This window comes from Homo sapiens, chromosome 12, assembly GCF_000001405.40.
Source record: "Homo sapiens chromosome 12, GRCh38.p14 Primary Assembly".
Lineage (NCBI taxonomy): Eukaryota > Metazoa > Chordata > Mammalia > Primates > Hominidae > Homo > Homo sapiens.
Genome location: NC_000012.12, coordinates 125,357,780 through 125,384,784, shown reverse-complemented (window position 1 = coordinate 125,384,784; position 27,005 = coordinate 125,357,780). Strand labels below are relative to the sequence as shown.

Below are 27,005 nucleotides of genomic sequence, written 5' to 3'. Positions count from 1 at the left end.
CAGCTACTTGGGAGGCTGAGGCAGGAGAATTGCTTGAACTTCGGAGGCAGAGGTTGCAGTGAGCCGAGATCATGCTGCCGCACTCCAGCCTGAGCGACAGAGTAAGACTCCATCTCAAAAAAACAAGGAAGAAACTTTCAGTTAGACTAGAGGAATAAGTTTTAGTGATCTACTGCATAGAATGATGGCTATAGTAAATAATAATGCATTATATGCTTCAAAATTGCTAAAAGTATATTTTAAATATTCTTACCACAAAAAATAAGTATGTGAGGTGATGGATTTATTAATCTGAATTAATCATTCCATGTTTTAAACATATAGCAAAACATCACATTGTACCCCATAAATACAAATGATTTTTAATAAACATTTTTAAATAAAAAATAAATTTTAAAACATAGAAACAAAAATTTAACTGATAGAAATAAGTGTTTTCAGAATATGGGACAGATACCCTAAGGGTACATGAGAAAACTTTAGGTGGTATGACAAGGATATAACATTAAATAATATTGAATAAAAGAAATACAGAGAGTTTCAGCCGGGCGTGATGGCTCACGCCTGTAATCCCAGCACTTGAGGAGGCCGAGGCAATCACCCTGAGGTCAGGAGTTTGAGACCAGCCTGACCAACATGGTGAAACCCCATTTCTACTAAAAATACAAAAATTAGCCGGACATGGTGGCACACGCCTGTAATCCCAGCTACTTGGGAAGCTGAGGCAGGAGAATCGCTTGAACCCAGGAGGCAGAGGTTGCAATGAGCTGAGGTCACACCACTGCACTCCAGCCTGGGTGATGGAGTGAGACTCCATCTAAAAAAAAGAAAGAAAGAAAGAAATACAGAGAGTTTCTAATCTTTTTCAACCCTTTTGATTAAATCAAGTAGAAAGTTGCAGTTGTTAATTTCTTCAACCTTCTCTAACACTTGCAAATCTGCCCTTTTAACAGAAAGAGCTAATAAGCCTCAAAGTCAAGGCATTTTAGAGCCTTCGCCTATCTAGCTTGGATGTAATAACTTTAGCTTTGTATATATTTATTATTTATAGTTGCCATCTATTTATCATGAGTGATGCTGGCTTTCCATTTTCAAAAGAAGAGACAAAAGTTTCTGTTTTAGGTAAACTTGCCTTTGTAAAAATATGCACTGACTTAAAGAAGATAGGGATTGAACAGTAGTAATGATGATGCATACACATGGAAGAAATAATGAGGTCTGATGGAAGAGAGACAATGCCAACTTCCCAGTCCCTGAAGTCAGAAGTTGCCAAGGTAATATGAGTTTAGATAGTAAACCCACTACTGTAATAGCTATGCATTTATTTTAATGTGTACTAGGAAAAAATAAAACTAGAAAATCAACAGATTGATTTTCCACCTTAGTGAGTGATAGAAAATTTTCTTTTAAGATAAACTTACTTCCCAAAAAATATGTATCAATCAAAATTAAAATAGTAAAGGGGAAAGAGTTTGGGTGGTATGTTGCTACGAGCACAAATCACGAAGGTGGTCCATGAATAACTCCAGCTTCAGAGATGACTGGGGCTGTCACTGACTTCCACAGTCAGCCTCACACTCTACTGCAATCCTGCAGCTGCACCCTGGGGGTCTTTGAGCAACAAATCAAAGAGGCAATTATCTACAACAAGAGGCCGTCTCACCGTCCAGTTCAATTCAGCTAAGATGACAGCAGCTGGTACCACAGTCTGAGAAACCCACTCCAGGTTGGGTTTGCTCAACAGCTCAGATGAAAGAAAAGAAAACATATCTGGAGGAGGAATCAATCTGCTAAAAAAGAACTCTATCTGCAGTTGTCAAAAAACCCTCTTCTGTGGAACACAGGACCCCTACCTTTACCTGTCTATGTCTCCTATGTCTCCACCACCAGCAATTCACAGAGTGACCAAGAATGGAAAGCCATTAACAAAGAGTTTTCAAGCAGAGAAAACAGATTTTTAAGAAGCAAAACACCCACAACTTTACAAAGTTAGCCCGATCTGGAATAATTCAATGAGTGGTTAAACCCTAAAACACATTTCAAGAGCAATGTTATTGAACTGAGTTTAATGTAATTTCTTGGCATCAAATTATTACAGCAATCAAACCACCCATCTTTCACAGACTTTTACACTTTTTAAAGGCCTCTTTTTAAACTTTTTAAACTTTTTCAAAGGCCTCTGTTTCTTGTTTACATCTCAGTTTGTCTAATGGTTCTGTCATCAAGAGACTGAGGCTCAGAGAAATGGAGTGGCTCAAGCAAGGTCATAAAGAGTCAGAACCAGGCTCAGACACCCAACTCCACAATTCTCCTCTTTCCACCATCCCCTGTCACTGCTCCTTAAGAAGGCAGTAAGAATATGCCTTCTTTGTGTTCTTACACCAAACATCCTGTTCAGAATCATCATTCTGTATCCTAGGACCATCTCTTGGAATGAAAAAGATAAAATTGCATGACCCCTACTAGAAAAATGGAGATGCTACTATGACTGCACTGAGAAATCACACTTACCTTCGAAGAAAAGAAGAACCATATCCTACTTTTGTCTGCACTTTAGGAGCCTGGAGATACTGGGTGCACCATGGAAATGATTTATATTTGACATAAAATCATGTGATAGTAACCTAAAATGCCAAACAGTCAAGGAAGAATGTAAGTTAGAGTTACCTGTGTGCAAACAACAGAAATCCTTTCTGGCCAGCTTATGAGAAGATTTCTAAAAGGGATGTTGGGCATCTCGTAGAATAGGAAGGAGAGGCCTAGAAACCCAAGCCCAGAAATGGGCTAAGATCCAGGGAAAGTAATTGGCAAGACCTCCACAGAGAACATCTGATCAGAAGCACCAGACCCCACCTCCAAGCTTCCACTTCAGCTGGCACCAAACAGCATGTATACCTGGCACCCATAGAATTGCATTTCCCATTGGCATCCATAGAATATCTTCCCCAGTAACCTATGCACATCACCTGTGGATCAACCAGCAGGAGGGACCCTGATCTCTGCCCCCATTCAGTCCCTGATTTACGTGAACACACATACATGTGCACTAACGCACATATGCATACACATATGTACATTCACACACATACATACATTCACACACACACACACACAGTAGTAGACACATGTGAAGCACTGCTCTGCTGCCCCTCAGCCCACCTGATTTCAGAACCACTGGAATGGACAGTTCCATGTGCCATAGCTAGGCGCTATCACCAAGGCAGTCTTGACTTCTCCACTGTTTTCTCCAAGTTACTGACCCAGATCAACCTTCAACCAATTGGGAAGGGAGGCCAATAGATAAACTCTTTAGCCTCCCCATTTTCCTGAGGGACAATTCTGAGGGTCCTTGTACACAGTTCCAAGAGAGCACCCCAGTGGTATGACGTCCCAGGGACCCTTCATCTTCCTCCTTGGTCTCACTCTCCCCATCCTCTCACTTCTGCTTTCTGGTATCACCTCCCAGATTAACTACCTGGGCCCCAGGTCCTGGTCAGGAGTCTGCTTTGTGTCTACATGCACAGCTTGCGTGCACTTGTACAGCATGAGATGTCTATGGGAGAGTGGGGCCTTGGACCACCAGCAGGTTGAAAGGTGTGTGGAATATCAAATCCCCAGTGTCTCAACCACAGGGGCTCAACACACCGTGCCTGTAACTCCACAGAGCTGGAATGGGGCTAAGGCTGGTTTTATGCATATAGTGTGCTTAGTAGCAAGGCCAACACAAATTTGGTGTCTTCCTTTCTCTCTCTGTATCTCTTGTACCATTAAGCATCTGACCAGGACAGAAGCAACTCTGAGCATTTAAAACAGGAAAATTAATCCAGGGAAGAGGGTGTGCATTCATGTGCATCTGGAAGGCCCAACTGAGATTAGTGCAGCAGGGAGCTGATAGCACCCCTAGGCCAGAAGGACAGAAGGAAGTAATGTTTTCAGAACCAGGGATCAGGGTCACACAAAGGACAATGGAACCACAGAGGACTCATTAAGCAGGAGAAATGTGGCTGCTACCATGGACACCATGGGTGGGAGGGCTGCGTTCCTCTTGCTTCCAATCTTCTACCAGTGCCTCCCATCAGCTGAAGCCAGTTGTGGGTAACTGGAAATCATAGCCTGCAGGGACAGCCTCCTTGGAAAAGGAAGAGAAACTAGTGGATCTGACGGTGAGAACCGAGCACCAACATATGCCATGCTCCAATCACATGCTTGGGATCACGTGCCCCACTCCAATGACGTGCTTGGAATCTATCCATAAACTCCTTGGTGCTGTGGGAGGTGATTCATCTGAGGCTGGAAGGATGCACTCATCTTGCTCATTGCAGTGGGTTGAATGATGGCCCCCAAAATATATGTCCATCCAGAACCTGTGAATATGAACTTATTTGTGCATGTAAGCAAGGTAAATATCTCAAGATGAAATCATCCTGGGTTACAGTGAGTCCCAAATCGAATGGCCAGTGTACTTATAAGAGACACACAGGAGGAAAGACAATGTGAAGACAGAGGCAGAGACTGGACTAATGTGACCACAAGCCAGGGATCTCCAAGAATTGCCAGCCACCACCAGAAGCTAGGAGAGAACCACGGGGACATATTCTCCCTCAGAACCTCAGAAGAAGGAACCTACCCTGCCCACACCTTGATTTCAGACTTCTGATCTCCAAAACTGTGAGAGAACAAAGCCCTATGATTTTAAGCCATCAAGTTTGTGGCAATTTGTTATGAAAGCCCTAGGAAATGAACGCATCCATCCTCAGCTCCATTTCTTTCCTGCACCACAGTATTCTCTCCTTTCCAAATTGAAGATAAATGCTGAATCAGAGAGACAGGAGCAAAATAGAAGTTCACAGATCTACCCTGAATGTAATGTTGTGATCTGAAAAACCCTCATCTCTCAAAGCTCTCAATTCCACACACCTCTACCTGTAGTGGCAGCACTTGGAAATGTCCTTGCTTCATTCATGATGGAAAATCTCAGCTCTGGAGCTGGGAGCATTTACTCCACAGGACATGTAATATTCTGGTGCTCAAATGCATTTTCAATCTGCCTCCCTTTCATGATGGGCTCTGCTCAATGGCAAAGCCATCCATCTACTTTCTGGATTAACTGGTCAGGGGACTCTATTATTTTCCAATGCTACTGTAACAAACCACCACAAGCTTAGTAGCATAAATATATTGTCTTATCATTCTACAGTTCAAAAATCCAAGATGAGCTAAAATCAAGGGGTTAGCAGCGCTGTGATCCTTCAGGAGGGCCAAGGAGAATATCCATTTTTTGTCTTTATTTTGGGGGGTTTTCTGTTTGTTTGTCCTGGAATCTGCTGTTGCTTGTTGGTTGGTTGGTTTTTGCTTTTTCCAGCTTCTAGAAGCTGGCTGCATCCTTGGCTTGTGGCCCCTTCCTGCATCTTCAAAGCCAGCACTGTAGAATTCAGTGCTCTCTCTTTGATTGTGAACTTCTGCTTCCCTCGTCCCATTGAAGATCCTGTGGTTACACTGGTTCCACCTGGATAACCCAGGATACCCTCCTTAACTCAGCTGATCAAGCCTAAATTCCATCTTCAACCTCAATTCCCCCTTGCCATGTAACATAACATATTCACAGGTTCTGGTGATTAAGACTTGGACATCTTTGGAGCATTATTATTCTGCCTACCAAAGGCAGGGAAGCTCCAATTAAATTCTTGATAGGGAGTTCCTTAACCTGAAAATGAAGGCTTGGTAGGCAGATCCACATTTCAACCTGCTGCATTCTTCCCAAGACAGGCAAGGCAGTGATAGGTGCTTTGTAGAGAGACCACCAGATGCTGGGGACTGAGGGGGGTGGGGGCTATACACATGAGACCTCACTCAAACCTCCAACAACAATAACAGGCAGTTCTAGTGTCCTTCTCCCCATATGAGCAAATGAGGCTCAGAGACATTAAAGATTCAGTGAAAGCCAGCAGCAGCACACACTGCTCTTTGGCCATTGTCAACTTGCCCCTTTCACCTTATTGACCTATAAACTTGTTTGCAGGAGTGGGGACAGAAATGTCCACTTAAATACATTCACCTCCAAAGACTCCCTTGCAGCTAGAAGTGACCATGGCACAGTTCTGGCCAATGAAATGCAAGTAGGTAGCTCTGGGTGGGAGCTCTAGGAAAACGAAGTGTTTCTTACAGCAAAGGCCACATCCAGCTGTGCATGTCTATTTCCCTTGCCCTGCTGCCATCTTGCTTCTTGGAATCCAGACATGATTCCTAGAGGTGTAGCAGCCATGAAGATAAAAACTGTGGGTTAAAGATGAAGCCAGGCAGAGCCTGAGTCTTTGATGGCCCAGAGAACAGCTACCTCCACCCTTGACTACTTACTTGTAAATTCTTCTTATGGGAGAAAACTAAGGCCCTGCTTGACTGAGGCACTGTCATTGGATTTGATGGTACGTGCAGTCAAATGCACTCCAGCTGATATCAGCTCACAGCTGGTCCATGGCAGAATAGGGATCTGAACCAGTCTTCCTGGATTTATTGTTCATGCTTTTTCCATGATACCACACAGTTTCCTGGAATTAGTGACAAGCCGAAGGAAGAGATCCACCCTATATCCACAGGTATTTCAATGTACAGGTCTCACCTACTTCCTGACCCCAACACCAGCATCCCTCCCAGCTGGGCGGCCCATCACTCCATACTCAGTGTCACCGTCTCTACCAGAGTGAGAATGCCTTCTCCCCTCCCATTCCCATATCCTCATTTAACCAACTTCTAACAGCCAAGATCAAGTGACACCTCCCCTTGTCCAGCCTCCCTAAATACCTAGCTTTCAAAACATTCTTGAAACCCCCTTCACATGAACTCATCTGACCGTATGTGTGCGCTGTATCCCCAAAAGAACTTAAGATTTTGTGAGTAAGGTCCCCATGCAAGTCACCTTGGTGCCTCCTAAATCTCACCAGCTGGGTGGGTGCTCCATGAATAGCTGTTAAGTGAACCCATAGCAAGCAGCCAGAGTTGCAGGCTCTAGAAAGAGATTCTCTTTAAAGAAAACAGTTCATTCCACTTCCCTAAGGGATCTGTCCAACTCCAAGAGAATCCTTTGAAAATATTCAGACGTCCCATGAGAGAGATCAGAACTATATAGTGGAATAAAAATTATAACAACATGGAAAATAATAATAATTAGATCCCTGAGCCAGGCCCTGTTCTGAGCTACTTACACATATTAACACATATTAACCTGTGTATTCCTCACCACAGCACTCTCAAGTAGGGGACATCATTACCCTCATTTTATAGCAGGGGGTACTGAGGCACACGACATGCATGAGAAGTGTCCAAGATTTAGGAATTCTGAACCTAACCACCCAACCTCACTCTTTGTTCTCAAGGTCTTGCTACCCAACCTCTACTTCACCTCCACCTTCTCCCCAGTCCAGCCCACAATCCAAAGTTCCCTGCCCTCTGATGTGGGCTTCCTCTCTGGGTCTCCCCTTGGTTCAGCTGCTCCTTGACCTTCAGGATAAGTCCCTGCTGTCTCAGCCCAGCTCTGGGAACTCTCTCCATTTCATGCCCCTAGGAGCAGTTCCCCATCAACTGAAGTAAATCAGCCCTCAGTAACCACATGTTCCCCACTACCCACCTGCACAGGTGTTCTGTGCCTCAGAGGCAGTGCACAGACAGCAGCTTGCAGACCTGCATAGCAGCAGCACTGGGGAAACGCAGGCTGCTGGCCCCACTCTCAGCGAGCCTCTCTGAGTGGGTCTGGATATGGCCAAGAGATCTGCATTTTACCAGCCTGCCCTGTCCCGCTAAGGGATCCCACTGCCAGTGGTCCCAGAGCGTGCTTGGAGAAACCGTGGGAGGGTTCTGGATGACCTGGAAGGCCAGTCACAGTTTTCTTCCCTGCTCCCCACACTGGAGCAGGCATTTATTTCACATAGATCTGCTTTCAGATCACTGTGATGTGCCTGGGGGCACTGGCTCAGGTGCCAAAGTCTGTGCCATGGCCACGGAATCCTAGGGTCCCTGCCTGGCACACTCAGCTCCCCCTTAGACAGTGGGCTTCATAGGGCGGCCTCAGCCCTTTTAAGGGGAAGGGGGAACTTGCTCTCTTTGTACCCCTCCCTCAACCTGGGAGCTTCTCCCCTGCAGGAAACTCCCTCTAGACTCATATCCCTCCAGGAAGTGGGGAAGTGGTGCTATCCCATTCTGAGATGAGGAAACAAGGACAGGAAGAGTTTAAATAGCCCCGAGCCCAGGCAGCTAGCCACTGGAGGAGCTGCTGGGCAGGAGGAGTGTAAATGAGCATCCACCGGGGCTGGTCTCCTGCCTCACTTAAGGCGGCACCTGCTGTCAACCAACGTTCCCAGTCCTCAGGCATCCCGTGCCCTGTCACTCTGTTTTGCTTTAGCATGGGTACCATCTGTATTATTACTTAATATTTTTATTTAAGTCTGTTCACTGGGCTTACTCAAATTTATCTGGGGAGGAAGCAATATATCAGCACTTGAAGTGGAAAAAAAAAGCAATATCAATTTCCATAAAGAGAAGAAAACCCTAAAATAAGTACAATGGAAAAAAACAATGTTATTGAATTGTAGCCAGACACTGCTGCCTGCCAAAGCCTCCCAGCCTGGGATGTGGGCTCTCATTTAAAACAAAAACAAGCCATCAGACAAGGAGATTAGCAAGAGGTTAGGGGGTGCAAGAGACTGGAGCCTCAGACAGACACTACCTCCTTGACTTAACCAGGACACAAAGAGGATGCAGCAGGAACCACCTCTCAACAGGTAATTCAGTGCTACCTCAGCACCAAGAGTAAGTGGTACCGGAATACCTACAGTCATCTGAGTTATCACCTGAAACCATTTTTCCCCTTCCCTGGCGGTTCCCAAGGTGTGAGTGCAGACTGATTTTAGGTGGCCTCTAAGATGACTTGAAGACAAAAGTCATTCCAGAACCTGATAACTATTGGAGAGAAAGGGAAGTAACAAAATGAAGAATTCACAGGAATATAGAAGGTGATTTAGTTCATGTGCTGGTCTCACTAACGTGGGTTTACCACGTTCTCTGAACCCTCATCATGTTACTATGGAAACACGCAGCCGTGGTAAGTCAAACTTTCTACCTGGGTGTGACAGAGTGTGATGTGTGCACCTCAAAGAGAGCCGGCAGCCACCAGCCACAGAATAAGCCACTTGCTCGCCCATCCAGGACACTCACTAATTACGTAACGTAGCTGACATCACATATCTGAATCCTGATGTAACTTTTTCATGTTGGTTTCCTTTCTTTCAAGATGAAAAGCAAAGATGGGTGTTCCTCCACTCCATGACTAGCTATACATAACTCCAAAAACATTTGTCCTTTAGCGACAAAATGTATCTCTTTGCTGTCACCTGGGGAATCACTGAAGAAGGACAGATTGGCACTAGATCCTGAAAGCAGCTAATAAAATGGCAAGGCACGGACACTTCTTTTCCCTTGAAAACTCAGCCTCCATCTCCTGAGTCTTTAGAGACTGTTGCATATTCAAATGAGTCCATCCACCTTGATCACAGGTTAGATTCTGAGTCTGAGATTGAGTTTCTTATAGACAGCAACAATGAGCTGGATTATTCATATGCATACACACACGAAAGGGTTAGCTGCTTTTTGTATCTGAGCTCAAATATTATAGTACATTGTGTGCTATCCAGTTGCAGTACAATTTCTGACACAATTTCCATAATAGCAAAATTTACATACAGATGGCAAATAAATAAAACCTTTCTGTATCTTGGTCTGCAGTTCTTATGGTCAGCAAATCCTATTAGGGGCTTTATTAAGCTGCTCAGTGATGGAAATGTTGTATCTGATCTTATGGATTTCAGCTGTGCAATCTAGCCCTGCTACAAAATGAAATGTAACTCTCAACATTTTTCTGCAACATGAAGCCACCAAAATTGAGGGTTTTTTTCTGTATGGAGCATTGGAAATATCCACTCTTTCTCATTTCTCATTCGAGCCACAGATGATCTCTTTTTTCTATCTGTTTCCTCTAACAGCACATAATTGCAATTAGCTAGTGAGCACCAAGGGATACAAGTTGATCAACATGCAAGGTTGCCAAGCAGAAATAAGTTTAGGCAAGAAAGATAGAGAAGCCGGGGCGGGGCGGGGTCGGGGGGTGCAGGGCAGAGGGATCTCTGCAATGAAACATGCATTAGGAAGACTTGGCTGAAACCCCCAGAGAAACCCTTAAGAAATCCCTCTCTGTGAGCCTCACCGTTTCAACTGTGGCAGGAGACATCCAGGACTCAAGGGACTGTCTAATTACTAGTTAAAATCAGCCACTTTCTATATCTAAACAAAGGAAAAACAAAAAAAAACATGTTTGTGGGTGAGCTGAGTTGAGGTCTGCACTATACAGACTCCCATGAGAATCCAGATACTTTAGAATTCCCTGTGCCCACGGAGAATTTAAATGGAAAAGCCATCTCCACTCTAAGAAGAATGAGCCTCCAGACAGAGGACTTCAGAGAGTCAGAGGTCTTGGTAATAACCCTTCCTTTTGCACTAACAGTGTTCTTCATAGCTTCAATCCCAAAGGAACATCCCTAAAGAGGAACATCCCTAAAGTGCAGAGCAAGATTCTTGTGTGTCACACATCTGCCAAGGAGTGGCACCGACAAACACATCCATCCCAAAAGTAAAATCCTATGCTCTTGGCTGGATGTGGTGGCTCACACCTGTAATCCCAGAACTTTGGGAGGCTGAGGCAGACAGTTCACTTGAGGCCAGGAGTTCGAGACCAGTCTGGCTAACATGGCAAAAGCCCGTCTCTACTAAAAATAGAAAAATTAGCCAGGCTTGGTGGTGCGTGCCTGTAATCCCAGCTACCTGGGAGGCTGAGGCATGAGAATCACTTGAACCCAGGAGGCGGAGGTTGCAGTGAGCCAAGATCACCCCACTGAACTCCTGCCTGGGAGACAGAGTGAAACTCCGTTTCAAAACAAAACAAAACAAAAAACAACTGTGCTCTTAAAAGACTCAAACTGATAATGAAACAGAACAGAAAACACAGGTTAGAAAGGGGAGGGGACAAGGGTAAGGGACATTAAGAAACTTCTGAATTAATAGCTGATGGCTTTAAAGGCTCTTTATTACTTTCCATTGCAGGGCACTACAATGGTACTTTGTAACGGAAGCTAAAGGAAGCTGGGGCTGCCATACGAAGTACCGTAGACTGGGGGCGCCTTAAACAGCAGAAATTTACTTTCTCACAGTTCTGGAGGCCAGAAGTCCAAGATGAAGGTGTTTGCATGGCTGGTTTCTTCCGAGACCTCTCCTTGGCTTGCAGATGATCATCTTCCTGTGTCTTCACATGGATCTCCCTTTTCTCAGAAGGTATCGGATTAAAGCCCACCCTAATGACCTCATTTTAACTTGTTGACTTCTTTAAAGGCCCTATATCCAAATACGGTCACATTTTGAGGTCCTGGAGGTTAGGGCTTCAACACAGGAACTTTGGGGGACACAATTCAGCCCATGGCAGGCATCAAGCCACATGAGTGAATGGCTGTATCCGAGATGTAAAGGCGTGTGGTTCCCATTTGCTGAGTCCCAGCTACATGCCACATATAGTTCTTGGCACTGGTGATACATGTCCCTGCCCGCATGGAGCTGACCTTGTAATGTGGGGGAAACAGATGACAAATAAGTGAACAAATAAATAACTTCACTTCAGGTGGCGATGAGTGCTTTGAAGAAAATCAGCTGGATAATGGGGCCAGGATTGCCAAAGAGGACCACATAGGGATGGTCGGGGAAAAGGGGACATCCAAGGTAAGCCATGAATGGCAAGGAGAGACCAGCTCTGCAGGCAGGTAAGGGAAGAGCATTCCAGGGAAAGGAAACAAAGAAAATGCCCTGAGACTGGAGTAAGCTTGGTGGGTTCCAGGAGCCTAGAAAAGACGGTGTGTGTGGCCAGAACGCTGCGGGAGATGACATCGGTGGGGTGGGTGGTCCGTCATGAACATGCAGCTTGGCCCTTTACTCACTTCATTCCCATCAGGCCCTGTGGCCTTCGGTCACAGTCAAGACCACTGCACATTTGTAGCAGGAAAGGGGACTTTTTACCTCCCAGCTGCCTTTCTACTTCCAACCCAATCAGAATTTCAAATACTTTGTGTAAAGTATCACCAATGTCAATCCTAACTAGTGCAAAATGGGTGTCCTTATTTCTACCTCTTTCCACTGGAAAAACATCTCTTAACATTGATCTGACATTGCAATCCCAGGGGCAGGCAAAAAGCTCCTTTGGCTAAACCCAATAGGGCATAAGAACTGGAAGAGGTTTTGATTTCCCATTGAGAGGAAAACCGCCAATATATTTATTAAAGTAGCAGATGTAACTGCATTGCTGTAAGTGAAGAAAAATCACTACTTGGGGATCCTGGAGGTAAGTGGCAAGTTTGCTAATTCTGGATTTCAACTTTAATTCCACTCAAGGGATACTTTATGAGCTCTAGCAAACTGCCAGTTCTAGCCGGGGACACAGGCTCCGCCAAGTCAGCAATCCCTGTCTGCAAGAAGCTCATAATCAAAGAGACTGACACAAATTCAGTTAGCTAAAATATGCTGGGATAAATGCTAGATTCCAAGTTTGAATAAAATTCTCGAAAACCAAAGAGAAGCACATGTTGAATTTCTTGCAAAAAGTGTTGTGGATTTAGACCACACAGACAGGAAGAAATGCAATTAAAAATTATATCTAACCTTAAAATTACAGTTGGCACAATGCATTTGCTTCTTTCCTGGTTTTTAGTGATTTTTTCTGAAATATTCTGTCTAACCGAAGTGAGTGACAGTCAATTTAAACATAATGGAGATAGAGGCCATATTTTTAATAGAGCTAACAGAGAGATAAATGGTATGCTATGCTTCTATGGTATTAAAATAAAATCTGACAAAATTCTTAACCAAACAATACCCTGCTAGTGAAGACGAAAAGATCACAAAGTGCAGCTTGCATCTCTGATTAGTGCTAATACTGTCCCTTTGAATTCCCCTTGAATTTCCCTATAATTATTTACTGCACAAGTCACTGGTCGACAAAATGTCAACCAGACAAACTGAACTAGCTCCACACAAACTAATTACACAGAGCAGATCTACTGTGAACACAATTACATACTTCTCTTTTAAATAAAATTCTCTGTTACTCTTAAGTGGGTGGTAAAAAGTAAGGTGGTTGCATAATTGTGTCCTGGAAACCCACAAGGTACACAGAGGAGAGTTTTCAAGCCCCTGGAAAGCAGCCCCACATTACCACTGGGACTCTGAGCATCACTTTATAACTTAAACATGCACAAGCTTCTCTCAGCTTTAGGGAAAAGAATCCCCTGACACCCCGGGTCCCTCGGATGCCCTCCTTCCTCCCTGTCTCTTCCCAGCTGTGATGATTAATATTAAGCGTCAACTTGATTGAAGGATTGTCTCTGCATCTATCTGGGTGTTTCTGGGTGTTGCTAGAAGAGATTAACATTTGAGTCAGAGTCAATGGACTCAGAAAGACCCACCCTCAATGTGGGTGGTCACCATCCAATCAGCTGCCAGTGTGGCTAGAGAAAGCATGCAGAAGGTAGAAGGAGCTGACTTGCTGAGGCTTCTGGCCTTCATCTGTCTCCTGTGCTGGATGCTTCCTACCCTCGAACATCAGACTCCAGGATTTTTGGCTTTTGGACTCTTGGACTTACACCAGTGACTTCCCAGGAGCTCTCAGGCCTCTGGCCACAGACTGAAGGCTGCACCATCAGCTTCCCTACTTTTGAGGCTTTGGGACTCAGAATAAGCCACTACTGGCTTCCTTGCTCCTCAGCTTGCAGATGGCCTATCTGCAAGTCAATCCTCCTTCATAAACTCCCTGTCATATATCCATATATCCTATTAGTTCTGTCCCTCTAGAGAACCCTAATACACCAGTCAAACATTGGAACAACGTAGAAAGACATTGCCTTTCCTGTTTCCATCAACTCACATGTGTCAGACAATGCTAATTACTCACCCAATATCCATTACCCATTTCTTCCCTATCAAGAAAACCCTGAAATTGGCCGGATGCGGTAGCTCATGCCTATAATCCCAGCACTTTGGGAGGCTGACGCGGGAGGATTGCTTGAGTCCAGAAGTTAGAGACCAGCCTGGGTGACAGAGCAAGACCCCCATGTCTATTTAAAAAAGAAAGAAGGAAAACCCTGATGGGGGGAGAAGGGACTGCCCAGATGCCCAGTTAAATACCTACAATTCCCTACCTCACTACAGGATGGCCTTGATTGTGAGAACAGTTCTGGCTATTAAGCAACAGTCAAAAGATGTTGGTTGACAATTCCAGGAATGTTCCTTAAAGAAGGGCAGACTTGGATGCACGTGATGTTTTGCTCCTCTCTCTCCTTTCTCCCTTCTGAGTGAAATATAGATGTGATGACTACAACTGCAGCGGCTATCTTGTGACAGTGAGGGAAAGAACAACATAATCATAAAATCCTTGATACTCTAACATTCTTGATCCACCAAACCAATACCTACCTGTGGACATTCCTGCCTTTCCTTAAATAGATGCCTGTCTTGGTGACCTCAGTGTTCTTTGGGGTTCCTACCACATGCAGCCGATCTTAAGCCACAACAGGGATTAACTTCACAGATCACTCATCCCCAAGCCCCTCCAGTCTGGCTTTTATTTCCAGGAGTTCATTCAATATCTTTTTTATTTTTGAGATGGAGTCTCACTCTGTCGCCCAGGTTGGAATGCAGTGGCACAATCTTGGCTCGCTGCAACCTCCTCCTCACTGGTTCAAGTGATTTTCCTACCTCAGACTCCCGAGTAGCTGGGATTACAGGTGCCCACCACCACACCCGGCTGATTTTTGTATTTTTAGTAGAGACAGGGTTTCACCATGTTGGCCAGGCTGGTCTCGAACTCCTGACCTCAGGTGATCCGCCACCTCCGCCTTCCAAAGTGCTGGGATTACTGGCATAAGCCACCACGCCCGGCCCATTAAATATCTTATTAAAGTTACCAATGACCTCCATAGGTAAAAATGCAAGGAATAATTTTCATTTCCCCTGCTTGAGCTCTCAGCAGGATTCAACTCTGCTGACTTTCTGTGGTTTTCAGTCTCTTCCACTGGCTTGTGTGATATCATATTCTCTTGGTTTCTCCACTTCTCTGGCTGACATTTTTAAGTCTCATCTTTGTCATTTATCAACCTATCAAATGTTGGAGTCCTTCAGGATTCATTCAAGAGCTCTTTTTTCTTCTCATGATTTTTACTGAAAAAAATCTCATCCTTTCCAAGGCTTCAGTTATTATTATCAAACTGCCAAACACACCTAAATTTGTATTTCCTACCATTTGACCCAGCCATCCCATTACTGGGTATATACCCAAAGGATTATAAATCATGCTGCTATAAAGACAAATGCACATGTATGTTTACTGCAGCACTATTCACAATAGGAAAAACTTGGAACCAACCCAAATGTTCATCAGTGATAGACTAGATTAAGAAAATGTGGCACATGTACACCATGGAATACTATGCAGCCATAAAAAAGGATGAGTTCATGTCCTTTGTAGGGACACGGATGAAGCTGGAAACCATCACTCTCAGCAAACTATCGCAAGTACAGAAAACCAAACACCACATGTTCTCACTCATAGGTGGGAATTGAACAATGAGAACACCTGGACACAGGGTGGGGAACATCACACACCGGGGCCTGTCATGGGGCCGGGGGAGGGGGGAGGGATAGCATTAGGAGATATACCTAATGTAAATGACGAGTTAATGAGTGCAGCACACCAACATGGCACATGTATACATATGTAACAAACCTGCACGTTGTGCACATGTACCATAGAACTTAAAGTATAATTTAAAAAAATCATGACAGGAACAACACCTCACATGTTTTATTCCTGTCATGGAACAAATTGAATGTAAAAAAAAATTGTATTTCCAAGCAAGACACAGGGAAGAGATGTTGTTACCTAAAAGCCCAGGAACTAGGACCATCCAGTGGGAGCTAAATTCCTGGCAGGGTCTATTCCTGAGGAGCATGTGTCCTATAGGAACAAAGCTATGGAGGATACGCAGCCTCTGACAGAGACATATCAGGAAGCAGAGCAAGAGGGAAGTTCTCTACTTTCTCTACCTTTTCCCATCCTAGTCTTCCACTGCTGCCTCCCACTGGGCAAATCCATGCAAAAAAGGAAATCATGACTCCATACAAATGTAAATTAAACAATGAATAAATAAAAATTTGATGAGGGGTGGAATGTGTACATAATATCACATAGTGACACCCCACAAAATTCTTATTAACGGCAAAGAGAAAAGCAGTAACTTCACAGTTGAAACTACTGGCAGATACCACCTTAATTATGTAATTAAAGTGAACCTCAACAGTAATGAGACAAATTAAAATTATGCACAACCTCATAGGATGCAACAAGAACACAGTATCATTTCTGTGGCATTAATGCAACAGATGCATAACCTGAATCTAATCATGAGGAGACAGCAGACAAACCCAAATTAAGAGACCATCTACAAAATATCTGTCATCTTAAAAGTGCCAAAACAAAACATATATAGATATCAAATATATGAAAATAGCACAAAGATGTGGAGAATGGACTATACTGTGGTAAAGTAACTATACTTACCTAGAGAAATAACATGTCAACTCTAATTAGATGATGATAAATTTAAAGATATATACTATGATCCCTAGAGCAATCACTTAAACATGCAAAGAGATATAGCTAAAAAGCCAATAGATTAATTAAAATCAAATACTAATATTTGATAACACAATAGATTAATCAAGAAAGAAGGAATAAAGAAAAAAACTAAGATGAGAAAAATAAAAAATAGCAGACCTAATTCCAACCACATCAATAATTACATTAAATATAAATGAACTAAATCTATTTCTGGTAATGGTTGAGTGAGATACTAGAGTTGGTCCTACGTAAACTCTAGACATAATTTTTAAAGTAGCTATCCAAAGGCACTAGAGAGTAAACAAAAACAGGAAGATCATGGAGGGGAGTCCATACTCAGAGGAAGACCCACTCTGAGGAAGAATTTCCCCCATTTTTGTCACATTTAGCCTGGAGAATAATGCAGTTATTATTGTAGGATGCAGAGAGAGCATCAACCTGGAAAAAAATGCAGTTGGGATTGGGAGGTAGGGAACCACAGGACTGAGTCCAAGATGGCAGCTAAAGAGAGATGAGAGAGTCATGGAAGAGAAAGAGAGAATGCTCAAATTCTACCTGTCAATATCTCTGGTTGAATATTGAATCTTGTATATGCAGATCAGTCTCAAAGCATGTCAGCTAAAGATAAAAGATCCATACTGAGATTGTACTTATGATCCAAGAAAGAGATCTGCAGTTTGACTACAACAAAATTAATTGCCTGCTGAAACAAAAGAAACAACACTTACTGGAAAATCAAAAATAAGAATCCAGAGTCTTCACAACTTAGCATTCATAATATTCAAGATACAATAAAAAATTGTCCAAAATATGAAGATTTTTAAAAATGAGACCCATTCCAGAGTGAAAAGACAATCAACTGAAACCAACCTGAGGATGACCCAGATGTTAGAATTACCAGAAGAGCATTTTAAAGTTGCTAATTACAACTGTCATCAGTGATGTAAAAGAAAATACGCTCTTAATGAATAAAAAGCCATGAAAACTCAGCAAACAAATAAAAATGACAATAAAAGAACAAAATGGAAAGTCTAGATCGAAAACTACAATAGCTAAAAGTAAAATTGCACTGGTGGACTTAATACCCAAATAAAGATGACAGGAGAAAGAATCAATGAATTTGAAGATAAATCAATGGAATTATTCAATGTAAAATGAGTGAGAAAAAAGACTGAAGAAAATGAACAGAGACTCAGAGGCCTGTTAGATAATAATAGATAGTCTAGTATATGTGTAATTGACATTCCAGATGCAGAGGAGTAAGGAAATGAGGCAGAAATGAATATTTTAATAAATAATGACTGAAACTCTCCCAAATTTGATAAAAGACATAAATGTACAAATTTAACTACACAACAAACCCAAGGCAGGATAAACATTTAAAAGTCCATACCTCTGCACATTGTAGCTAAACCGTTGAAAGGCAAAGATGATGAGCAAATCTTAAAAGCAGCAAAAGAACAGCAACACATCACCTACAGGTGACTGATTCATTAATGGCTGACTTCTTATCAGAAATTATGGAGGTCAAAAGCAAGTGAATCAAAACATCTCACCATCTCACCCCAGTTAAAATGGCACTATCAAAAAGACAATAAAAAAAATAACAAATGCTGGTGAGGATGCTGAGAAAGAGGAACACTCCTACATTGTTGGTGGGTAATCATCATATCAAAGAGATATCTGCACTCCTGCGTTTACTGCAGCACTATTCACAGTAGCCACAATATGGAATCAACCTAAGTGTCCATCAATGGATGAACGAATAAAGAAAATGTGCTGTGTACACACACACACACAGCAATATTATTCAGCCATAAAAAGAATCAAATCCTGTCATTTGCAGCAATGTGGGTGGAACTGGAAGCCATTATGTTAAGTGTTAAATAAGCCAGGCACAGAAAGACAAATATCACATGTTCTCACTAACATATGACAGCTTAAAAAAAAAGAAAGTGGGCCTCTTGGAGGTAGAGAGTAGAATGAAGGTTCCCAGAGGCTGGGAAGGGAAGTGGGAAGGAGAGGGATGAGAAGTTGATTAACGGATACAAAAATACAGTAGATGGAAGGAAATAGTTTTAGTATTCAATAGTAGAGTAGGGAAATTATAGTTAACAATAATTTATTATATATTTCCAAATAGCTAGAAGAGAAGAATTCTAATGTTCCCAACACAAAGAAAAATGTTTGAGGTGATGGATATGCCAATTACCCTGATTTGATAATTACACATTTTATACATGTATCAAAATATCACATCTGCCCAAAAATATGTACAACTATAATATAATTTTTAAATCAAGTAGAACAATATCTTTAAAATGCTGAAAGAAAAAAACTGCCAACTCAGAACTCTACAAATAGCAAAAAAAAATCTTCTGGAATAAAAATGAAATAAAGGATTTTCAGATAAAAGAGACTAAAGGAATTTATTGCCAGTAAATATGTACTTCAAAAAATTGCCAAGAGAAGTCATACATGCTGAAGGGAAATAACAACAAATGAAAACTTAGATCCCCAGAAAGGAATGAAGAACATCAGAAATGGCAAAATCTGGATAAATGCAAAAGGCTACTATTGCTTTTTCTTCCTAATGTCTTTATAATACATATAACTATTTAAAGTAAAAGTTATAATATTCTCTTCGAGGGTTTTTAACATATATCTATGTAATTATACAAAGTAACATTAACATAAAGGACATGGGATGGTTAAGTGGACCTACTATCTACATTTTATGGAAAGTCTATCTCAAAATAGACTGTGAAAAGTTAAGCATGTATATGGTAATTTCTGAAGCAACTACTAAAAATATAATGCAAGAAAGTGCAGCTAAAAAGCCTATATAAAAGTTAAACTAGAATTCTTAAAAGTATGCAAATAATGCCCAAAAAAAAAGCAGGAAAAGAAGAACAGAGGAATACCAAACAAAAAGAAAAAGAGAAACCAAATAATAAAGTGGTAACCCCAAATCTGGTAACATTAGTAATTACATTAAATATTAATAGACTAGCACATTAATGAAATTACATATTAAATATTAATGAAATAAGCATACTAATTAAAATACAGATTATCAAAACAGATAAAAAATACAAGACACAAGTGTATGCTATCTACAAGAGGCACATTTTAAGTATAAAGATACAGATAAGTGAATTTGGCAAGGTTACAGGATACAACCTCAGTACACACAAAAAAATCAACTGTATTGCTATATCCTATCAACAAAACATCTTAAAATGAAAATAAAATCAAGTCAATTTATAATATTAAAATATAAAATACTAAGAAATAAAGTTAACAAGGGATGTGCAAGATCTGTACAATGAAAACTACAAAGCATAGCTGAAGATAATCAAAGGAGATATAAATAAATGAGGAAATATACCATGTTCTTATATCGGAAGACCCAACATTGTTACAATGGTAATTCTCCATAAATTGATCTCTATAGTCAATGTAATTCCAGTCAAAATCACATAAATATCAAATCCTAGCTAATAATGTACATACTAAGCTATTTATAAGGAAGTGAACAAATGTCTGCAAACTACTTTTAAACACATCAGAAAATAAGATGGATTGATGGATGAAGAGATAGATTGATAGATATGTAGTAAAGTAAGAACAGTAAAATATTAATGGTAGAATCTAAGTGGTGGGTATATGGATTCTCACAATACATTTCTTTTAACTTTGTCATGTTTAAAATTTTTCAAAATAAAATATGGGAAAATATAAAATATTTCCAATATGTAAAAGAGTATGGAGAGGAATAAAATGAAAACCCATGTCTCCCACCAACTAGATTAACAGATAAAACATGCAGATACAGTTGAAGTTCCCTAGACACCCTTCAACCTTTGTTCTTCCCCAGAGATAACCAGTCCCTTGATTGGTGTTTATGATGTCCACATATATGCATGACCAAACAGGAATGTGTTTATATACAACAAATAGAATTATGAATATATTGCACGTTTTAAACTGTATGCTACTGTAGATATAAGCTAATAATTTGCTTTGTTCTTCCACTTAGCCTCAAATCTTGGGGATTTATCCAAGAATGGAGACATGAATTTATTTTCATATCTGTAGAGCATTCATCCGTATAAATATGTAGCTATTCATTTATCCACTTTCCTCTAATGAATATTTCTATTAAACCATCTCAAGATGTGGCCTCTCTGAGCCTAGCATAGTAGTGAGATGCTCAGATTCTGGGCATGGGAAGACCTGAGTCCAAACCCTAGCTTCTTGGTTTTGTGGATTTGAGGAAGTCACTTATCTTTCTAAGCCTCAGTTTCCTCATGTAACAGGTAAGGATGCTCATTCTGCTACCTCTGAAGATCATTGAAAAGAAGTACATAAGACGGATGGATAAAAAGCACATAGCAAAGTGCCTGCCACACACACACTCAATATTCTGAGTCTGAAACACAAGGAATAGAAAGTCCTAGGGGTGCCACCAACCCTATTTCACTCAGGCCCAAAAAACACTACTAGGCACTGAAAACTGCCAGCTCTATCTCATAGGGTTAAATTTCCAACGGGGAGGCAGACCCCACACTGCTTGCCCCTAGACCTTCACTCTCAGCCTGGGAAACATCATGCAAAGCCATAAAGGTGGTTTAGGCTGGATCCAGGCAGCTTCCTTCTTTACCGCTGTGCTAACACACCACTGTACCCATCAGGGCTTCAGAAGGTCTCATGAAGGGACTATTCACAGAGGTATAGGCAGGGTTGTGGGGATCAGTAAGGGATGGTGAAACATCCTGGGGCTGGCAACTCTGGGGACCCTTGTTCAATTGAGCCTTCATTTTTTAACTTTATTTACACTTAAGTTTAAAACTGGTACTTTATAGATGGTAAAGTTAGGATTTGAGCCAGCAAACTGGCTCCAGGCTCCAAGCTCTGAGCCACTCTACCCTGCTGCCTCGACCCCAGAGAAATCCTTGTTTGTGTTCAACGTGGCAGGCAAGGATGTCCCCTGCAGCACTGCTTGAGGTGCCAGTGAAAAACTGGAGGCAAACTAATGCCCACTGATGGGAGAATGACTAGTTAACTTACCATAGAGCTCTTCGAGCAGATACAAAGAATGGGGCATGAGAAAGTGCTCTTTAGGGTTCAACACTAAACTGTAAATGGGTTGGTTACCCCTTCGAAGCAATCAGGACTGGAAGGGGGTTGTCAGCATGGACGCTGGCCTTGTCTGTATTGTTGCAGATTATTGTTTTACAGTATTACTTGTGTATTTTAAAGTTAAGTTTTAAAAAGTCATAGATGAATAAGCCAATTATAGAAGGACAAATACTGCATGGTTTCCATTCTATGAGGTACCTAAAGGACTCAAACTCAACTCACAGACGTACAGAGTAGAATGGTGGCTACCAGGAGCCAAGGGGCAGGGAGAAATGGGACATTGCTATGTGGTGAGTGTAGTTTCAGTCCTGCAAGATGAACAAGTTCTAGAAATCTACTATCCAATAGTGCGCATGTAGTTAACACTACTGTACTGTACACTTTAAGATGTGTTAATAGGGTCGATTTCATGTCAACTGTTTTTTACCATGTTAAGAAATATACCTTATCCAGGGCATGTATAAAACTCCTTGGGGTTTCTTTTTTAAAAAACAATATTCCAGGTCATTTGAAATAAAATTACTGGGATAGACTTCCTAAAAGAAACAAAATGTAAGTACAAGGAGAGCATAATTGAAGAATGAGAACTCAGTATCAGGGTGTGATAGAGCCTTGTTCTGCAAGCATGTCAGTCAGGGAGTCAGCACCCAGGCACAGGGAAGCGCTGAGCAGGAGAAGGAAAGGAGGGTCTTGATGCTGGGTGTCAAGGTCAGCCAAGGTCATGCCCCAGCCACTTGCAGACAAGTAGCCCTACCAACAAACACTGCACACCTGGGAGCAGGTGCAGGCAGGCAGAGGCAGAGGCTCTGTTTCTTCATCTGTAAAACAGGCTTAAAAACAATCATTCCAGCCTCCTAGCATGACTGCAGGGGCTAAGGCCATGGCATATCTAAGTGTGGCTTGGTACAAACTAAGTGTTCACTAAGATATTGGCCACCACCATAATCTAGGTATACTCCAATTTTCCAAAGTTGTGATCTGAGATAAAGTAATCAGCTCAGGTAAAAATCTACTTTTGTGCACAGGCTCTTCAAGCATCTGAAATTTACACTTACTTCTTACCAGCCTCCATCAGAGCTCACAGACTCCAATGCAATTGGGAGAGAAAACAAGGCAGATTTGGGGGGTAAGCACCATGTTCTTATTAACGGAAACAGGCTCCCTAAATGCAGCAGATAACATTTGGAACTAGTGTCAGCTAAGCACAATGTGCAGGTGACAGTTAGCTTGGGAAACACTCACCTGTCCTCATTTCCAAGCTCTACCAAAATCTAAGCTCTTAGCTCTCGACTTGATCTGGGCTCCAAGGTTGCAGATTTCAGAGCATCTGTGTCTCTGCACACTTTCCTCAAGGGAAATCTGAGTTTTATTTGGGAAAAGAGACTAGTAAAGCCTGAATTTTTGTTGCCACATGGGGACTGTTCCTCAAATAGGTGACTGTTTTTTTAAATGTAAAAACTAAGCATTAAGATTATTAACCTTTGAAATGGGGGATCATGAGAGAGGCATGAGCTTTGAAGTGGGCCGATCTGGGTTAGGGTCCTGGTTCTGTCACTTTCTGGCTGTGTGACCCTTGGGCAAGTGACTTAGCATTTCTGAGCCTGTTTCTTCATCTCTAAATGGAGGAACCAGTCATTTCCAGAGCTGTCCTGAGGATGAGTGATGACAACGTACATAAGAAACTCATAGCAAGCCCTGCATGTGACAGGTGCATAGGGGGTGGGAGCCACTGCTGAGGGTGGGCTGGGCAGCGGGCGTGTCCCTGTAGTGTGTCTTTGAGGCAGCTTCCAGAATCCACTTAGACACCACTAAGACTGGCACCAAGCATCACAGTCAAATTGCTCCCAGGCACTAGGCTTGGTAGCTTCCTTATCTCATTTACTCTTCACAGCCCAAAAGACTGGTGCTATTACTACTCTCACTGTACAGGAGAGGAAGGCAAGGCTCAGAGAGGTGGAGTGACATGTGCAAAGTCACATAGACAGTAAGGAGGGGAGTTGAGATTTCACCCCAAGCCTTATTGATTCTAATCACTCAGAAAACTTGCCTCTCGAGAGCTTCCTAGGCATACCAGATTCTTTGATCATACTGCCCTACCCACACACCGTCTCCTATTTTCCTTTAATTGATCCAAAACCTGCCCATCGTCCACAGCCTCCTCCTCCAGGAGGCCTGCCCTGATTTACCCCCGTGGACTGCACTAATGACCTTAACCTGATGTCACTTCCTACCCACAGCACTTCCTCAGGTACTTAAGCCATACCTTGCATTGCTAGTTAATGCTCCAGGTCAAGAATGTCTGTTTCCTCAAAGCCTTCCAGACCCCCTGAGCACACAGACCACCTTCCTTCATTTCAGCACCAGGCAGTAAAAGTCTAACGATGTCTAATGTGATGTCTAATTGCTACCAGTTCACCTCTTCATATTGTTGACTAAAGAAAAAAATTAAGTTTTTAAGGAATTAAAATTTGTTTCATTTACAGTCTTATTGTAGACCATCGTCTAGGAGCAGTCTCTTGGAGAGGTTGTTTCAGACTGTTTTGAAACAGTGTTTTACTTTATAACTTATATATAGATTGTACAGGTTCAATGTGTGTAAAATTACATCAAGGTTTGGGGTGTAAGAGTAAATCGGGTTATAGATTATTAAAGTTTGTCTGGTTATAGATTGCAGAAGTAAAATCCCTTTGTCAGATGTTATCTTACATGTAGGAAAAGACAGGAACTAGGATTATTTATCTGTTAAAAAATGTAGTGACTCAGGCAAGAGATGTGGGGGCCATGTGTTCTATTTTGTTTTGTTTTGTTTTGAGACGGAGTCTTGCTCTGTCGCCAGGCTGGTGTACAGTGGCACGATCTCAGCTCACTGCAACCTCCACCTCCTGGGTTCAAGTGATTCTCCTGCCTCAGCCTCCCAAGTAGCTGGGACTAGAGGCACGTGCCACCACGCCCAGCTAATTTTTATATCTTTAGTAGAGACGGGGTTTCACCATGTTGGCCAGGATGGTCTCAATCTCTTGACCTCAGGATCTGCCTGCCTCGGCCTCCCAAAGTGCTGGGATTACAGGCGTGAACCACTGCACCTGGCCTTGTTTTGTTTTTAAAGTATTTTTCCCAAAAGTTGTAAGTCATCACAGGGTCGGGAGTTTCGTGAACTTCTGCTGGCAAGTAGAAATGACCAAACATGGCTTTTTACATTTGTTATTTTTCTTACAAGTTTTCGCTTTTGTTCATAAACCAACTGGCTGGTATTTATAAAATCAGTGTTGATTGTCTCATGTAGTTAGGGAGGCTACTTTTTTAGGAAGCTCATGGTCTTTAGTTGTAACCATAAGGAATGAGCACTGAGCCCAGAGTGTATATTTGTCTATCAGAAAATACTATTTGGATCATATCTTTTTTTTTACTAATATGATCTGGGGTTTTTTTGACATTGTCTTTTTTGTAGCCAATATAACATCTTAACAGGATTGTTATAAGAATATTATAGATTACATATAATGGTACATATTTAACAGTGCTAAAGTATATTATAGATTGGAAAAAACATAACTAATAAAATCGCAATATATATTTGCATAATTTTTATTAATTGTATTGGGTGTAGGAACACATCTGGTTAGAGATTACTAAGCACATCTGGTTATAGATTGTAGAAGCATAAACATTCACCCTGTCAGGTATTATCTTATGTGCAGGAAAAGGCAAGAACTAGGATCATTTATCTATTAAGAAATGCAGTGATTCAAGCAAGAGATGTGGGGGCCATGTGCTCGATCCTGTTTTGTCTTTAAAGCATCCTTCCGGAGAGCTGCACATCATTACGGAGTCAGGAGTTTTGTGAAATTATGCTGGCAAGTAGAAATGAGCAAACATGGCTTTTATGTTTGCTCCTTTGCCTCACAAAATAAATTCAAATAAGAAGTGATCAGGAAGAGCCAAGATTCTTCTACAATATTCACTTCTAAGTCATTCACTTAGAAATTACTGCATTTGAGACAAGAATCGTCAATGGATGCCAAAAGTTATAAGCAAAAGGATGATGCAAAACAAGATAAATGTGTAATCTCAAACAATCTTCCCAGGTGTTATTATTACCAACTACAAAGGGGGAAACAGCAACTTTACAGTGGAGAAACGGGGCAGACACAAACTTAACCATCACTGCTGAGAAGACACATCAGTTACCTCCTGATATGGTGCACTGAGGAGGACAGAGCACTTCACTGGTATTCTGGCCAAACAGGTACATCCTCAATCCAATCATGAGAAAACACCAGACAGACCCAAATTGAGGAACTTTCTCAAAAATAACTGGCCAGCAGTCTTTAAAAGTGTTAAAGTCATAGAAAAAAATATAAAAAGAAGTGTAAAAAAACAGAATGAAGGAGACAAGCAAGATATAACAACCCTGTGCTGTGGGGTTCCTGGAGCAGAAAAAGGATACCAGTGGGACAGCTGGCAATTTTTAAGAATGTCTGTTAAATAACAATATACCAACATTAATGTCCTAGTTTTGATATTTGTATTGTGGTTACATAAGATATTAGCATTAAGGGAAATAGAAGTTTTAGACTTTTCCATAAGTCTAAAAGGATTCCAAAATAAAAAGCTAAAAAATTTTTTAAAAAGTAAAACAAAATGAAAATGTCTTACATACTGTGGTTTCCTTCATGGCTCTTAGCATGGGTTTCAATTGTGTGTATTTCTATTTATTTGTGTGTTTGCTGTCTCCCCCCCATAGAGAGTGTGAATTTGATTAGGGATGGGAGCATGGGTGCTTGATTTCAAAAAAAAACAAGGAAATTAGAAGGCAAACCAAAGATATGCCACATATAATAGGCGACCACAAAACACTTGTACAATCAAAGACCACTACATAGAGCTGGCAGCCTCCAGGGCACCGGGAGAACGCACCCAACAGATTTCTGCCTCCAACCCAGGGATGGGGGAGACTGAGGCTAACCAGCAGGTAATGCCTGGGGTGCAACTAAGGCTGCATTGTCTTCTCATGGATAAGACAGTCAACACCAGCCAGGTTTCCCAGGGCGTGACATGAGTCCTGGGTCTGCAGATGGTTCTGATGCACAGGTGTGGCCTTAATAAC

At 41.8% G+C, this 27,005-nt stretch overlaps 1 protein-coding gene across 9 annotated transcripts in view, besides 1 other annotated feature; it reads right to left on the bottom strand.

The window, feature by feature from the left end:
- Positions 1-27,005, bottom strand: part of TMEM132B (transmembrane protein 132B) — a 475,992-nt gene that overhangs the window by 277,593 nt on the left and 171,394 nt on the right. The window lies entirely within an intron of this gene.
- Positions 7,425-7,924: an enhancer, noted in NCBI's record as "H3K27ac hESC enhancer chr12:125861407-125861906 (GRCh37/hg19 assembly coordinates)". NCBI's record gives its function as "activates a minimal SCP1, AML or CMV promoter by ChIP-STARR-seq in naive H9 embryonic stem cells {active_cell/tissue: H9 hESC(naive)}" and the evidence as "EXISTENCE:reporter gene assay evidence [ECO:0000049][PMID:30033119]".